Raw genomic sequence first — 16436 nt, 5'->3', positions numbered from 1 at the left:
GAACACATAGACACAGGGAGGGGAACATCACACACCAGGGCCTGTCAGAGGGTGGGGAGCTAGGGGAGGGATAGCATTAGGAGAAATAGCTAATGTAGATGATGAGGTCGATGGGTGCAGCAAACCACCATGGCACGTGTATACCTATGTAACAAACCTGTACATTCTGCACATGTGTTCCAGAACTAAAAGTATAATTTAAAAAAAAAAACTATGCTGAAATCACTGTATACTTAACCCCACTGGTATCCAAGAGTGTTTTCTCTTCTTTGAGTAAGCTCTAGAAACACTGTTCAACTCAATCATAACTCTTGCAATATTGTATCACGTGACATTAACAATCAACACAAATAATATTCAGAAATTAAACCGAGTGAAAGCAGTGGAGTGTGCTGAATGAGACAGGCCCCAGGAGGTTTGCAGAGCTTGAGTGTCTAGCACCCTATTCTCAGCAAAAATGCCTGTAAAGTCAATTTGCCTTATAATTTCATAGCTCCACTTCCACCAAGATTCAACTTCAGTATTCCATTTCTTAACCCAGAGCGGGAACATATCCGACTGTAGCTGTTTCTCTGCCTGCAGATTTTATGGGGACAGTGAATGAGAGTATATTGTGCTATTAAACCCTAACCAGGCAGTAAATTACAGGGAGGAAAACAAAAGCAAATTCTGCTGAGTAGGAAGATTTTTTTTATGTGAATGATTGTACCTTATTCTGAGTAAGCAAATAAAATAGTGAAACATTTCTTAAGAATTTGTCATCCTAGTTCATTTTTGTTTTGCCTTTAGTTTAGCAATAAAAGGAGTATTTGAAAGAAATAGTTTCCACATGGGGGAAAGTAAGTTGACAGGACAATAGTAGCCTAGGAGTTGTAAGAGTTGCCAAATGAAACCTGTTTCAGTAACTACGGATTTTTTTAAATCCATGGACAAACATGCAGAGGAGAGAATCAAACTCAAATATTTCAACATTCTCAGTGTTCCTGAGACTGTGGAGTGTTGGCAGCATCATTTTTTCAGCAACATGTGCTTCAAATTTTTCAGGGGGAGGCAGTGAGGAAGGAGGGAGGCAGAGCAATGCTATAAAATAGACAAAAATCAGTCTTTGCCCCATTTGGGGGGTGACCAATGATGGTTCTTGGGGACACTGAGAGTGTTTGCCTCCCATCAAACCTATTTCTATGGTTTTTCCAACCCACTCCTTCTCCCAAAATGGGAGCAGAATTTGGCAGACGAAGTCCACAGCATCTTTGTACCAAATAGGAAAGTACAGAACTCAGTAGTTTTCTTGCTTTCTTTGATAATGACACAAGCTCTCCACCATTGCATGTGTCATGTTACGGAAACAAACAATAAACCCATCCCTGTGATATTCCCAGACCTACCCACCCACTCCCTAATATTCAAAATAATATTGAGGGAATAAAATGGAAGCAATGTCATCATGAGATGGGAATTAATGTTTTAATTTGGTAGACAGAGAACTTGAGGTTCTAAGAACTTGCTGTTTTCAAGTTCACAGAAGTTCAAGTCCTTCAGGGGTTCTGTTGTAGCGATTTTGAGAACATAGAAAAGTTGTTCAAGGTTATGGACATTCATTTCAAGAATTCTAGATCTTAGGGAGCCTCCCTCTTTAACAAGTTCTCAGACTCTGAAGAATTGGAAGGATTAAACTTTACACCTAATTTTTTTCTTTAAAAAAGGTCAAATTAAAATTTTCTTAAAATTGTAACAGTCATAGAAGTCCTCAATGTCACATGGTTTCTTTAGAAACAGATTCCCTTCCACCCTCTAGAGAGATTGTTAGGGAAGCTGTTTGCATTACAAATGACTACCAGCAAATATTTTCATCAGAAGACAAGGGAATCTCACTAGAAATTCAGGAAATCAGAGATATGGAAAGGTCTATATGTTTCCAAGATAGCTCACCTTTAATTTTGCGGAGAAAACAAATTTGCTCTTGCTCAAGAGAGTTCTATAAAACAAAGCTTTTCCAAGAATTTTTTCTTTAAAGAAAGTGGAAAAAAAGCAGAAACTAGTATATGGGGACAGTGAGGACAGAAATTGTGTTCCTTAATTAAAATATTAATGAGCAGTCTGCTCACCACAACAAATGTAACTATGCAGTCAAAACAGACATGTCTTGAAATGGGAGACAACCAAGCATCTGTAAGGAAAAAAAAAAAAAGCAGAGAAATAGAAACATGTGCTGCTCCCAAACATTTCTTAGGCCATCTCCTAAATCCCAGTATTTTCATTCACCAGGTCTGGAGGGGACATTAGAGATTCTTCCATTCTGACCAACACGCTCAGAAGAAGCAGTGTGAAGCTGTTTTCAGGGAGCCCATCCACCACTTCTGGAGACACTCGCTTTTCAGGTGCACCGTCTTTGTGGAATCTGTCTCAGCTCCCCAGGCAGAGAGCAGGGGCTCCTCCTCTATGTTCCAGAGCCCTTCTTCCCAGAGCTCTTTTGCTATGTGCCGCAATTGCATTATTATTTTTTACATGTCCATGAGCACTAGTTGATAAGACGACAAGAACCGTTTGCCAATGTATTGCAATGGACTGAATGTTTGTGACCCACTCTCCAAAATTCTTATGTTGAAATCCTAATCCTTGATATGGTTGTATTAGGAGGTAGGGCCTTTGGGAGGTGATTAGGTCATGAGGGTGGAGCCCTTATGAATAAGAATAGTGCCCTTATAAAAATGACCCCAGAGAGCTCTCTCCTCTTTCTGCCATGTGAGGATACAGCCAGAAGTTGGCAGTCTGTAACCCAGAAGAGCATCCTCGCTGGAACGCCGCCTTGATGGCACCCTGATCTCAACTTCCAGCCTCCAGAACCGTGGGACATAAATTTGTTGTTTAGAAGCCCCGCCAGTCTATGGTACTTGGTTACAGCCGTTCAAGCTAAAATAGTGGGTGTTATGATCCTGACTCGTAAATGGGTGTCAGTACATGGATTGCTCAATTAGATGTTACATTAATGCATGAGGAAAATAAGATCCAGACGTGTTAATTGACTTACCTAGAGCATGCAGCTGTGTATCAAATTAAATCTCCTCAAAAGCCTTAAAAAATTTCTGGATATATAATCCAGCAAAAGGTTTTATCCTAACAAGAAAAACAACATAATACATTCAATCTTAGCCAAAAGGCCAAAAAGTGATGAAAAACTTCATAATGAAGCTGGCATAACCATAGTCCAGAACCCAAATGTGTGCTTCAAATTAGCTGTGTTCTCTTTTAATATTTAAACAATAACCCTGCGCTCACTGTGCTCAACAATGCGGAGAGAATTTGAAGCTTCTGAGCGAATGCAAAAAGCAATTCCATTCAGTGTTTCAACATGTGCGTACCACTTTGTGTCCTGTGAACAAGGACACAAAGATGAATGAGGTGGATCTTGGGCCCTGAGGAGCTTGTCATCTACTAAGCACTTAATGCAGAAGCCAGGGATTCCTTTATTTTTTAAAATAAATACAATTTTTCAAGAAAAAAATTTTCCACAGAAAAATAAGAGATATAATTTATTTATTTTTTCTTTTCTTTTCTTTTTGTTTTTTTTTTTGAGACAGACTCTCGCTCTGTCGCCCAGGCTGGAGTGCAGTGGCGCGATCTCGGCTCACTGCAAGCTCCGCCTCCCGGGTTCACACCATTCTCCTGCCTCAGACTCCTGAGTAGCTGGGACTACAGGCACCCGCCACCACGCCCGCCTAAATTTTTTGTATTTTTAGTAGAGATGGGGTTTCACCGTGTTAGCCAGGATGGTCTTGATCTCCTGACCTCGTGATCCTCCCACCTTGGCCTCCCAAAGTGCTGGGATTAGAGGCGTGGGCCACCGCACCCGGCCGATATAATTTATTTTTTGAAAAGTTAAAGAGAAGTTGAAGAAGAAGACACACTAAAGGAAGAGAACAAGAGTGATTCCAAGTTCTGGTACCCTACCTAGGGGGGCCTTGCTGCTCTCGGGCAGCCTGGAGCTTGTCAAGTGCTCTTCATTGCTTTGGGACAAATGGGGGTGTTGTCAGTGTCCTTGTCCTTGTCATTCTTTCTTAAACCATCATATCCCCCATGTGCTGAGCGACATGCCAAAACTTCAGGGGGTGTTTCCTGCTTTGTGTTCCAGGAAACTCCCAAATTCCCAGCTGATGCTGATGCTACAGGTTCAGACACCAGATGTTGAGGCACCCTCCTACCCCACCCCAAAAAAGCAACACTCTCACAATGTGGAGAGAAAGAAGAGCCAGGAAAGCCATCTTTAACACCATCTTCCTCCTTCTCTCTCTACTCATGCACCATCCAACTCCTCCTGCCTTTGCCCAGTCCCTTTCCCTGCCATCTACTGTCTCTTCCAGAATGGCTGAAAGCCCTACACAGCCAAGTTCAGAGCAAATTCATGGAACGCAACCTGGGCAGCCACACAGAGTCCTGTGCTCAGTAGGCCCCATGCTTAACGTTCTCCTGTTGCCATCTTGAAATTCTTAATCATGTTTTTATTATGATTTTAATTATAATGTATTTATTTTATAAATATATTCTTTATAAATTAATTATAAATTAGATATTTTTTAATTATTTATAATTTAATTATAACTATTATTTTCCCCTCATTTTTATTTTCCATGATGATCCACAAATTATGTTCTAATGACCCCAGCCTTTTGAAATCTAGGCATCGGGACTGCACAGGTTTTATATCAGCACAGCGCCTGAGCTGTATGTGGTTTTCGCTATCCCAGGCATTATCACAGCAGAGTACTGAAGTCCAAATAGCGGCTGAGCTGCAGGTGCTACTCTTCTTCCTCTGAGAGTTAAGGACCATGATGAAAGAATTTTTTTTGGATTCCATCACAGGTTCAAGGGAGCAACAATTTCCAAACAATGCCAGCCATGAAGGCTGGTCTTCCTGTCAATCACAGTCCATTGATACATTGGCAGAGTCGGATCTGTTCCTGAGGTCTATCAAACATCCTCCTGGGTAAACAGATCAGAGCTAATTAAACAAAAGTGACTTGGCAACAATCCTGTTAGCACACACACAATTACAATAGACTGCTATACAATCACAACGGCTCTCAAAATCTGGTGGCTGAACCTGCAGCATCAACACCCCCTGGGAATTTGTTAGAAAAGTACAATCTCAGATCTATCAAATCAAATTCTGGGGATGAGGCCTAACGACCTGTATTTTACCAAGCTACCAAGGTGATTCTGATGTCACTAAGAACCACTGGCTTATGCATGAAACAAACAAGAGTTTCCAGCTGCAAATATGTAGTATCAATTACGATTAATGTCCTTCACCATTTGACCTACTGAAGAAACACATATTGATTCATTCAGTCATTTACTTCCATCAAAATTCTTTTTATCCATATATTAAACACATGTAGGAGTGTGTGTGTGAGTGTGTGTGTGTGTGTGTGTTTAAGCCTCAGAAGTGAGCCAGGCACTGCAATGGATATAAGGTTGATGGTATGTGTCATAAAAGGGTTTATAATCCAATGCAGGGGAATGAAAGAGTCAAATTCATAAAAAACATGAATAACTGCCTGGAATTCTGGGTGAGAAGTACCAGAAAATATAATATGTGTTTGACCCAGGGAAGAGATTACATAGAATTTGTTGAAGCATAGTTAGGGAAAACTTAAGGAAAGTTTTCTTCTACAACTACTGATTATTCTACAATTCTAGTTATTCTACAACTAGGATTTTGATGAATAGACATGGTGAAGAGAAACGTACAGGCACAGAAAGAGCATAAAGGCATGAGGTGGAAAAGAATAGAGCGTGTTTCCAGATAAGCATATAATTCCATTGCCTTGGAGTGTGGATTCTGTGGGAAGGATTAATCTGGGAATAAACCAGAATAACAGTGTGGGGCCAGCTTCTGGAGTAAGGGCCTTGAGTGTGAGGCAGAATTTGGACTTCCCAGAATGAGAGTGAGAGCTGTGTTCTGAGCCCTGTTTGGGGGCGGGTCTCAGCTTCCTGTTCAGTTTTGGCCACATTTTGACTGTGTGATTCCAGGGAAAAGCATCTGAGCAATCTGTGATGCCATTCTGACAAAGAGAAAAATGTATTCGTCCATTTATTTCACAGGTAAAGTGAGACAGGCAGAAACAAGTTTACAGTCATTTGGAGACAGATCCACGTTGCTGGCCCACCTCGTGAGACTAGAGGATTCTTCAGGCCTTTGCCAGGTGATGCATAGCATGCTATTCATAAATCGACGTTTTATTCTTTCACATCAGACTCCTTCTTGAGGACAGGATTTTTTGGGTGATATATTTTGTTCATTTTTTTTTAAGTCAAGAGTAATGTGTAGTTTGGAAAGTTTTCCTGAGCAAGGGTGTGTTTAATCTTCTGCTTTTAGCCACCAGACTTCCAGCTCATCTCTCTCCACCCTCATCTCCTGCACGGTGTTATGGATGGGGTAATAGGCAGCTGCCAGCCTGTCTAAATCCAGGGACAAGAGCCATCTATGACAACACGATGGGCCCTGAGGCAAGGGAGGAATGTCATTTGTTAACTACCTTTCTAGCTATGTCTGCCTGATTCATTACACTCACTCTTTCGCAAAGAAATATGGACAAATAGATTACAATAAGCAAAACAGCCCATTAAAAAATATGTATGTGCTTGGAAAAAAATTGATTTCTTTTGAATGTTAGTTCTTGAGGGCAAAACCATCTATGATGCTGTACAGCACTCAAATGACATAAAGTAATTTGAAGCTTTGAAGGCCTCATTTAAAAAGCAATACAAAAATAGCCAGGAGATTGTAAAATAGTGCTACTTCTATGGACAGCAAGTTGGCAATACCCATCAAAACCTAAAATCCAGTAAAATGTGAGCCAAAAGTTAAACTTATAGGGCTTTATCATACTGGAAACTTGGCTCTGTAAAAGGTTAGCCAATAAAGTATTGTTTGTAATAACAATTTTTAAAAAGAATTAGAAGCAACAAGAATGATGTGAATAGGGAACTGGTTAAGTAAAGTATAGCCATAGAGTACTTGGTGATCAGAGCAAAGAATAAGGAAGGACTTTATCCCCTTCGATATGGAGAAAGCTTCATAATATACAGTTTGTGACAAATGAAAATGACAGCACAATGTGATCAGTATTTTACAATTAAAAAATCAGAAAAAAATGTCTGTAATCTCAGTATTCTGGGAGGCCAAGGTGGGAGGATCACTTGAGTCCAGGAGTTCGAAGCTACAATGAGCTATGACTGCACTGCTGCACTCCAGCCTGGGTGACAGAGTGAGACCCTATCTCAAAAAGAAGACAAATCAGAAAAAAAAGAGTTTATACGTATTTTTATTTACAAAAAAATACACCAAAATATATGGCTACAAAAGAAACATAACCTTGGCAGCTTCCAAGGAAGACAACTAAGGGGCTAGGACATGAGTTCGGAAAGACTACATTGCATACCTTTTTTATTCTTTTAGATTTAGAGCTGCATAAATGTATTATCTATTAAAAAGTAAGTGTATTAAAATGATAAGTTTAAACAGATTTTTTAAAATAACCTGGGCAACAGAACAAGACCCCAACTCTAAATAAATTGCCTAAAATATAAACTAGAAATTCTAATTTCTCTTAATCATTCTGAAGGACTTCAGTTTTGAAGTTGTTTTTCCTAAAAGCTCAGCATAACTTTTACATTCTAAAAAAAAAAAAAAATGGGATGATCCTAAGAAAAATGGGATGATCCAAATATCCTTCTTTACCTTTACCCCAAAGAGACAAAGCCATAAGCCAGTTCCTTAGTTCATTTGGGCTGCTACAACAAAATACAATAAACTCTGTGGTTTTTAAACTACAGAAATGTATTTCTGGAGGCTGGCCAGTCCAAGAGCGAGATGTTGGCAGATTTTGTATTGATGGGGGTCTGCTTCCTAGTTCAGAAACTGCATCTTTGCACAACATCCTCACATGGTGGAAGGGGTGAAGAGTCTCTCTCTGACTCTTTTTATATGAGTATCAATTCCATTTGTGAGGTCTCCACCCCCATGACCTAATCACCTCCCAAAGTTCCCCACCTTCAGATACCTTGGAGGTTAAGATTGGCATATGAATTTTAGGGGGACACAAACTTTTAGACCACAGCAGTCAAGGTAGAAAATCACTGACATAGTGATCACGAAAAAGGAGGACAATATGTAAAAGCGTGAAAGGGAAGGGTACATTAAGCCCAGTTATTTATTTTTATTTCCCTTGTTTCAGAAAAATAGTCATTGGACTTAGTAAATTATATGCAACACAAAAATGCAATGTCTCTAAAAATAAACCAGTTGCTCAATAAAAATTATTCACTAAGTGGATACACAATATTTTTATAATGAAATCAAAGAGAAAGTCAGCACATGTGACCTTGTAAAGAAGACACATGCCCTGTAATGAATAAACAACATCTTCACACTAATGATTATAAGTTCCCAGAGAGGTTACTTAGAATATGTTTAAATGTAGGCAGAGGTCATAATAACAGAACATAACTGAGTAAAAGCCACTGTACAAGGGACCAAAACAAAGGAATTCAAATGAGCAGCCCTGTGATTATCTGTTTAAGGATGGATTTCAGATCATCTGAGAAAATAAAGGACTACATATTCTTTTAAACTGTCCTCCATAAATATTACTCTTCTCAGCAGACTTTTGCATGATACTGAGTGGCTGTGAATTAATGTTCTACTTCCCGACAAGTGCCTGGAGGTATTATCAGGTGCTGCTGTCAGACAGAATGATGGGTTTTAATCATCAGCAAAGTTAGCACTGAATTAACATCCTTTAACAAAAGCTGAAGAGCCTTTCTGTCTGACCTGGGAATAGAAGATGTAGCTACTTCTGCATAAAAGTGAACTGATGAGAGGGCCAAGCTTTCCCTTAAGAACATTTTAGGCTCATTTCAACATATGCATAAATGAGAAATTGATCAAAATTTGACCAAAGTTTAATATTTTTGCCTGAAATAAATAAAGCCAAGCAAGTGTTATCAGAAGTCCACCTTAGTCACCTTTTCAAAGCCAGAACAGCACCCAGAGAACATTTAGATTTGAGCAAATGACTTTATGGTGAAGGAGTAAAAATAAACTGGTTACAAAATGTATGTCTTGATAACTAAATCAGTTGACTTGCAGTACATGGGTGTAAGCAAAAAAACAGTTAAATGTTAGTGGATGCTTAAATAAGAAACCTGATTTGGCTATATTTTAGCTGAAGTTATTCTTTCTGGCAATATATCAGTTAGAATAAGCTTCACCCTCATTTAACAGAAGAACCAAAATAACAGTGGCTGAAACAAGAGAATTTTATCTCTCTCTTATATAAAAGAAGTCTAAAGGTAGGCCATTCAGGACTGGTGCAATGGCTCCATAATTATCAGGGACTAAGGTTCGTCCTCCCCTTTTTCTGAACGTGCTGGTTGGTTTCCATCTTCAAGGTCACCTACATGGTCCAAGATGGCAGCCATGGCCTTTGCAAACATACCTGCTTCACAAGTATGAAGAGGGGAGAAGAAAGTGGGCACGACTCTCAACTGAGTGTTGGGGAACTATAATTTAAAAAACAAATATTCTCTCAATCCAGAAATCCTCTCCACGAAAGTGATAGAGGAAGAAAGCCCTTTTATTTTTGAATAAGCGTGAAACCAGAAGGTAATGCACATCACAGGCAATTTGATAAGAGATTGCACAGAGAGAACTCTCACCCTTCATACACCCAAGCACATACAACCTGTTGCATACACGTTCTCAAGATAAATCATAACTAGTCTTCAAGTGAGAGGTCTTGACAGCACCATTTCATTACACTTAAGTTTATCCTAAATTTACCTGGTAATTGTGGTGACCATCTGCGTAAGTTAACTGACTTTATACAAAGGAAAAATAAACTTCTCATATTGTTTGGACAGGAGGTAGTTTTACAACTTGGAGTCAGGCTAAAATTACTCCCCTACTCTCCTACTGAAACTAGGAGATAGGAAGCTATCTTCCTTGAATGTTTACATTCAAAGAAGATGGTTCCTTCCTGAGTTCTTGAGAAAGGCATTCTAGGGTCAAGTTGACAAAGGGCCTATCTACTTTTCAAAACAATTTACATACATTTCTAAGAGAGCAGAAAGTACTTGCAGTTATAAATTTCCAAAATAAACACTCTAAGGAAAAGGAGGAGAGTGATGTTATCTTCCCTTACTTTTAAGAGGGAGAAGCTAAGACTCTTTAGTCTGTATTTGTCTAAGATGAGTCAATTCCCTTTAAGGAACATTTTTAGAAACCTCACATAAAAATTTCCCTTTGGCCAGGCACGGCGGCTCACATCTGTAATCCCAGCCCTTTGGGATTATATATTTCAAGACATCATGTCATACATGATAAATATATACAATTTTGTTTGCGAATTTTAAAAAATAAATTTTTTAATGTGATGGAGAGAATGTTTTCCTAGAAATGAACTTGTTTTAATCTACTGTGTGGGATTAGCTGACCCAGTAAGAGGCCATTCTTACTGCTGTGCTACATAGGAGTCACTTCTATTGACATTAGTAACCAGTGATCGTCCCATTTACAATAGTGTAGGGTCAGAAAGATGTGATACATTTTCTCACCCATCATAAGGGTCACAGCTGACACTCCTCTAACAAAAGGCAGGTTAACAAGAGAAAAGCATAACAAATGTATTTAACCGAAGTTTTAGGTAACACAGGAAACTTCAGAATTGAAGACCCAAAGACCCAGGGCTTAGGTCCAATGAAGATTGGACAGCTGTGGAGAAATGTGATTAGACAATGGACACGATCCAATGGTAATAGAATGAGAGGGTGCCTTAATTCATTTGTGTTGCAATAAAGAAATACCTGAGGCTGGGTAATTTATAAAGAAAATGTGGCTCACAGTTCTGCTGGCCATGCCAGAAGCATAGCACTAGCATCTGCTCTGGCAAGAGCGTCAGGCTGCTTCTACTCACGGCAGAAGGCAAAGGGAACCCGAAGTGTACAGAGGTCACACACCAGGACAGGAAGCAAGAGGGAGACAGGAGGCGGTATCAGGCTCTTTTCAACAAACAGTTGTTTTGGGAGCTAAGAGTGAGAACTCACTCCTGTGAGAATGGAACCAAGTCACTCATGAGGGATCCACCCTCATGGCCCAAACATCTCTTACCACACCCCACTTGCAACATTGGAATCAAATTTCAACATAAGACTCAGTGGGGCCAAACAAACCATATCCAAACCACAGCAGGGGGGACACCAGCAGGCCTCTCTGTTCAGATACTTCTTGATTTCTCTGTGAAGGATGCCTTTTTCCCAGATATAGGGGAGGACCTGCATCTAATAAGGGTCTTAAGGGAGAAGGGAGAGTGTGACATTTATAGGTTTTATGATTTGATTTGGGGTAGAGGGGTTCAAGTTTTTATGACCTACCTTGGGGAAGAGGAATTCTGGTTTTTAAGACTCACTTAGATTTAGGGGAGACAGAGGAACAGGAGGATGGGAGAAGGTCAGAAAGAGCTTGCTTCTGAGGCCTTTCCAATTTCCTTCAGTCCAAAGTATTCAGCCTGCCAAGGTGCCATACTATGGGGTATTGCATTCCAAGCCCCAGCAATAGCAACAAAAATTATAGAATACTTAGAAATTATCTTAATAAGAAATGAACAAGAGCTAAAGGTAGACAATTTTAAAACCCTCTCAAGGACACAAAAAAAGAATCGATCAAAACCAGTTATGGTGGTGCATACCTGTAATCCCAGCTACTCAGGAGGCTGAGGCAGGAGAATCACTTGTACCTGGGAGGCAGAGGCTGTGAGAGGTGACAGCGTGCTGGCAGCCCTCACAGCCCTCACTCGCTCTCGGTGCCTCCTCGGCCTTGGCGCCCACTCTGCCTGTGCTTGAGGAGCCCTTCAGCCCGCCGCTGCACTGTGGGGGCCCCTTTCTGGGCTGGCCAAGGCCGGAGCCGACTCCCTCAGCTTGCGGGGAGGTGTGGAGGGAGGGGCGCAGGAGGGAACCAGGGCTGCATGCCATGCTTGCGGGCCAGTGCGAGTTCTGGGTGGGCGTGGGCTCCGTGGGCCCTGCACTTGGAGCAGCGGGCTGGCAGGCCAGCCCGGGCAATGAGGGGCTTAGCACCTGGGCCAGGAGGCTGCGGAGGGTGGGCTGGGTCCCCCAGCAGTGCTGGCCCACCGGCGCTGCACTGGATTTCTCGCCGGGTCTTAGCTGCCACCCTGCCGGGCAGGGCTCGGGACCTGCAGCACGCCATGCCTGAGCCTCCCCCTCTCTCAGTGGGCTCCTGTGGGGCCCGAGCCTCCCCTAGGAGCACCACCCCCTGCTCCACAGTGCCCAGTCCCATCGACCACCCAAGAGCTGAGGAGTGCAGGCACACGGCACGGGACTGGCAGGCAGCTCCACCTGCGACCCCAGTGCCAGATCCACTGGGTGAAGCCAGCTGGGCTCCTGAGTCTGATGGGGACTTGGAGAACCTTTATGTCTAGCTAAGGGATTGTAAATACACCAATCAGCACTCCGTATCTAGCTCAAGGTTTGCAAACACACCAATCAGCACCCTGTGTCTAGCTCAGGGTTTGTGAATGCACCAATTGGCACTCTATATCTAGCTCAAGGTTTGTAAATACACCAATCAACACTCTGTATCTATTATCATCTAGTGGGGTGGTGGAGAACTTTTGTGTCTAGCTCAGGGATTGTAAACGCACCAATCAGCACCTTGTCAAAACGGACCAATCAGCTCTTTGTAAAATGGACCAATCAGCAGGATGTGGGTGGGGCCAGATAAGAGAATAAAAGCAGGCTGCCCAGGCTAGCAGTGGCTCCGGTCCCCTTCCACACCATGGAAGCTTTGTTCTTTTGCTCTTTGCAATAAATCTTGCTACTGCTCAATCTTTGGGTCCACACTGCCTTTATGAGCTGTAACATTCATCGTGAAGGTCTGCAGCTTCACTTCTGAAGCCAGCAAGACCATGAACCCACAGGGAGGAACGAACAACTCCAGACACGCCACCTTAAGAGCTGTAACACTCACCGCAAAGGTCTGCAGCTTCACTCCTGAGCCAGTGAGACCACGAACCCACCAGAAGGAAGAAACTCCAAACACATCCGAACATCAGAAGGAACAAACTCCAGACACGCCGCCTTTAAGAACTGTAACACTCACCACAAGGGTCCGCGGCTTCATTCTTGAAGTCAGTGAGACCAAGAACCCACCAGTTCTGGACACAGCTGCAGCGAGCTGAGATCGAGCCACTGCACTCCAGCCTGGGCGACAGAGTGAGACTCCATCGCAAGACAAAAAAAAAAAAAAAGGAAAGTCATACTTTTTGTTAGAATGAGAAAAAAATTGATACCATAAAAATTTTAATTATCCACAGTTTTTTATTCTCTTAATACAACTTCAATAAAATACGGTTTTTTAAACCAGGCAAGTTAACACTGACATTCATTTGAAAAGATAAATAAGCAAAAACAACCAGGAAAATTATAACAATGAAGAGCAACACAGGAGGATTGGCCCTTCTAGATAGGACATATAACACCTTAATAGTTAAAACAGCTGATACATGAATAAACAGACTAGCCAAGTTGTAGAATAGGATGTCTAAAACTAGACCAAAATTCATAAGCAGGCCAGGCTGGGTGGCTCACGCCTGTAATCCTAGCATTTTTGGAGCCCGAGGTGGGAGGATTGCTTGAGCCCAGGAGTTTGAGACCAGCGTGGGTAACACGCTGAAATCCTGTCTCTACTAAAAATACAAAAGTTAGCCTGGCGTGGTGATGTGGGCCTGTAGTCCCAGCTACTTAGAAGGCTGAGGTGGGAGAATCACCTGAGCTCAGGAAGTCGAGGGTGCAGTGAGCTGAGATCATGCCACTACACACTCCAGGCTGGGTGACAGAGCAAAATCTTGTCTCAAAAAAATAAAAATAAAAATAAGCAGCCTGGGCACGGTGGGTCATGTCTGTAATCCCAGCACTTTGGGAGGCAGAGGTGGGAGCATTCCTTGAACCCAGGAGTTGGAGACCAGCTGGAGCAACATAGAGAGACCTTATCACTACAAAAAATTTAAAAATTAGCCAGTCATGGTGGCACATGCCTGTGGTCCCAGCTACTCAGGAGGCTGAGTGGGGAGGATCACTTGAGCCCAGAAGGTAGAGGCTGCAGTGGGTTGTAATTACACCTCTGCACTTCAGCCTGTATGACAAAGTGAGACCCCTTCTCCAAAATCAATCAATAATAAGCAAATTTAGTAAATGTTAAGGATGGCAATTCACATCAATAGAGAAGATAGAATATTTAATATATGCTGTTGGGACAACTGGGTAGCCATTTGGAAAAATGGTAAAATAGAAAACAAATTTTACAATGTACACCTGGAAAAATTTTTAAGGAATAAAAAATTGGGATTAAAAAAAGGAAGCCACCAGATGCAGTGGCTCACACTCATAATCCCAGCACTTTGGGAGCACAAGGTTGGTGGGACATTTGAGCTCAGGAGTTCAAGACCAGCCTGGGCAATAGAGTGAGACCCCATCTCTAGAACAAATTTTAAAAGTTAGCTAGGCATGGCCACACCTGTAGTCCTAGCTACTTTGGAGGTTGAAGTGGGAGGATTGCTTGAACCTGGGGAGTCGAGGTTGCAATGAGCCGTGATTGTGCCACTGCACTCCAGCCTGAGTGACGCAGCAAGATCCTGTATCAAAAAAAAAAAAAAAAAAAGGAGGCCATCAACGTACTAAAAAAATAAATAAATAAAAATAAAAATAGGCAGACATTTCCAACTGTGAATCCATTATCGAGAAGCTATACAAAATGGATAAACTCAACTCTATAATCAAAACTTTTGTGTAAAAACCAAAACGAACCAAAAAATAAAAAATAAACACCTATAAGCAAAAAGAAAACTAAATGACAAATTGGAAAGGATATTGCAAGTTTATATTGTAGACAAAGAATCAATATCTCTAAAATATAAAGTATGTTTCAACAAATAAGAAAAATGCTATTTAAAGTGATAAATAAACGATAAAGAATAATTCACAAAAAAGGAAATATAAAAGGATCTTAACTATATGAAAAACTTGTATAATCTCACCCATAAGTGATACAGATTAAAACTACATTAGGTTGCTCACTTTTTCCTGCTAAATGGATAAAAACTCAAAAGTTTGAACATACATTGTGTTGATTAAACTGTGGAAAAAGTCAACACTCCCACAATGCTAGTGGGGCTGTAACTTGGCATATTTACTAATAGAATGTAATTAGACATCTACAAGAATAAAAACGTTCATAATATACCTTTGGAATTAGCAATTCCAATTTCAAAATTTTATTCTACAGAAGTACTTGAGCATATGTCAAATAATATATGTCACAGTTATTACGTCATATAAAGCATTATTTGTAATTATGTAAAATTGGAAACAACTCAAAATTCTATGCAGCTATAAAAAGAATACAGAGGCCATTTATGTACTGTTATATAATTATCTTCAAGATATAGTAATAAATATGAAATAAAACAAGATGTAGAATAATCGGTATAGGATGCTGCCTGCCATTTGCGTAAAAAGGGCAGAAAAGTAACATTAGTATCTGCTTATATATTAACCGAGTTCATTTCTATTTCTCTCCCACTCCCTATTTGTATTCCTGTCTCCCTCCCTCACCTCCTCCAGACACACACACACAACATATGTACCTACATACATACAAGGCACATGTATATATGTTCACATATGTGTATGTTGTAGAAGCAGAAAGGTATGATACATTTTCTCACCAATTATCAGGCTGACATTTCTATAACAAAAGACAGGTTAACAAGGAAAAGGCATAACAGGTGCATTAATCAAAGTTTTATATGACATGAGAGTCTTCAGAAATGAAAACCCAAAGACCCAGGGAAAACTGTTTCTTTTTATGCTTAGTTTTGATGAAGTGTGGACAGCAGTGTGGAAATGTGATTGCACAAAAGGGTATGATTTAATGGTAGTAGATGGAGGAAGGAAACCCAGCCCGGCCTGTCTGTCCAGATTCTTCTTGACTTCTCCACGTAGCAATCCATCCTCCTGGGTATGGGGCAGGACCTTTCTGGAATGAGGGTCTCAGGAGAAAAGGGATAAAGTGACCTTCCTAGGTTTTATGGCTTGATTTGGAAGAGAGGGGTTCTAGTTTCTATGATCCACCTTGGGCAAGAGAAATTCTGGTTACTATAACTCAGTTTGGGGGAGGAAGAGGGGTGGAAGACAGGAGAGCAGCAGAGGGTCAGAGAGACCTTGGTTCTGAGGCCTTTCCAATGTCCTTCAGTTTAAAGTATTGAGCATGCCAAAACACCATACTTTGGGGTATTGTGTTTTGAACTCCCAACAATCTACATATATACATACATGCATGCATATACACACACATAAATTTAAAA

At 41.0% G+C, this 16436-nt stretch overlaps 1 long non-coding RNA gene across 2 annotated transcripts in view; it reads right to left on the bottom strand.

The window, feature by feature from the left end:
- The window catches only part of LOC124900465 (uncharacterized), a 145830-nt gene that overhangs the window by 121161 nt on the left and 8233 nt on the right, over positions 1 to 16436 (bottom strand). For both annotated transcript variants that reach the window (XR_007067823.1, XR_007067822.1), the window contains exon 2: positions 13175 to 14705. This is a non-coding gene — a long non-coding RNA (uncharacterized LOC124900465). The remainder of the gene's footprint in view (positions 1 to 13174; positions 14706 to 16436) is intronic.

This window comes from Homo sapiens, chromosome 21 (genome assembly GCF_000001405.40).
Source record: "Homo sapiens chromosome 21, GRCh38.p14 Primary Assembly".
NCBI lineage: Eukaryota > Metazoa > Chordata > Mammalia > Primates > Hominidae > Homo > Homo sapiens.
Note: the sequence above shows the minus strand (reverse complement) of the source record. Positions and strands in the feature narration are given on the sequence as shown.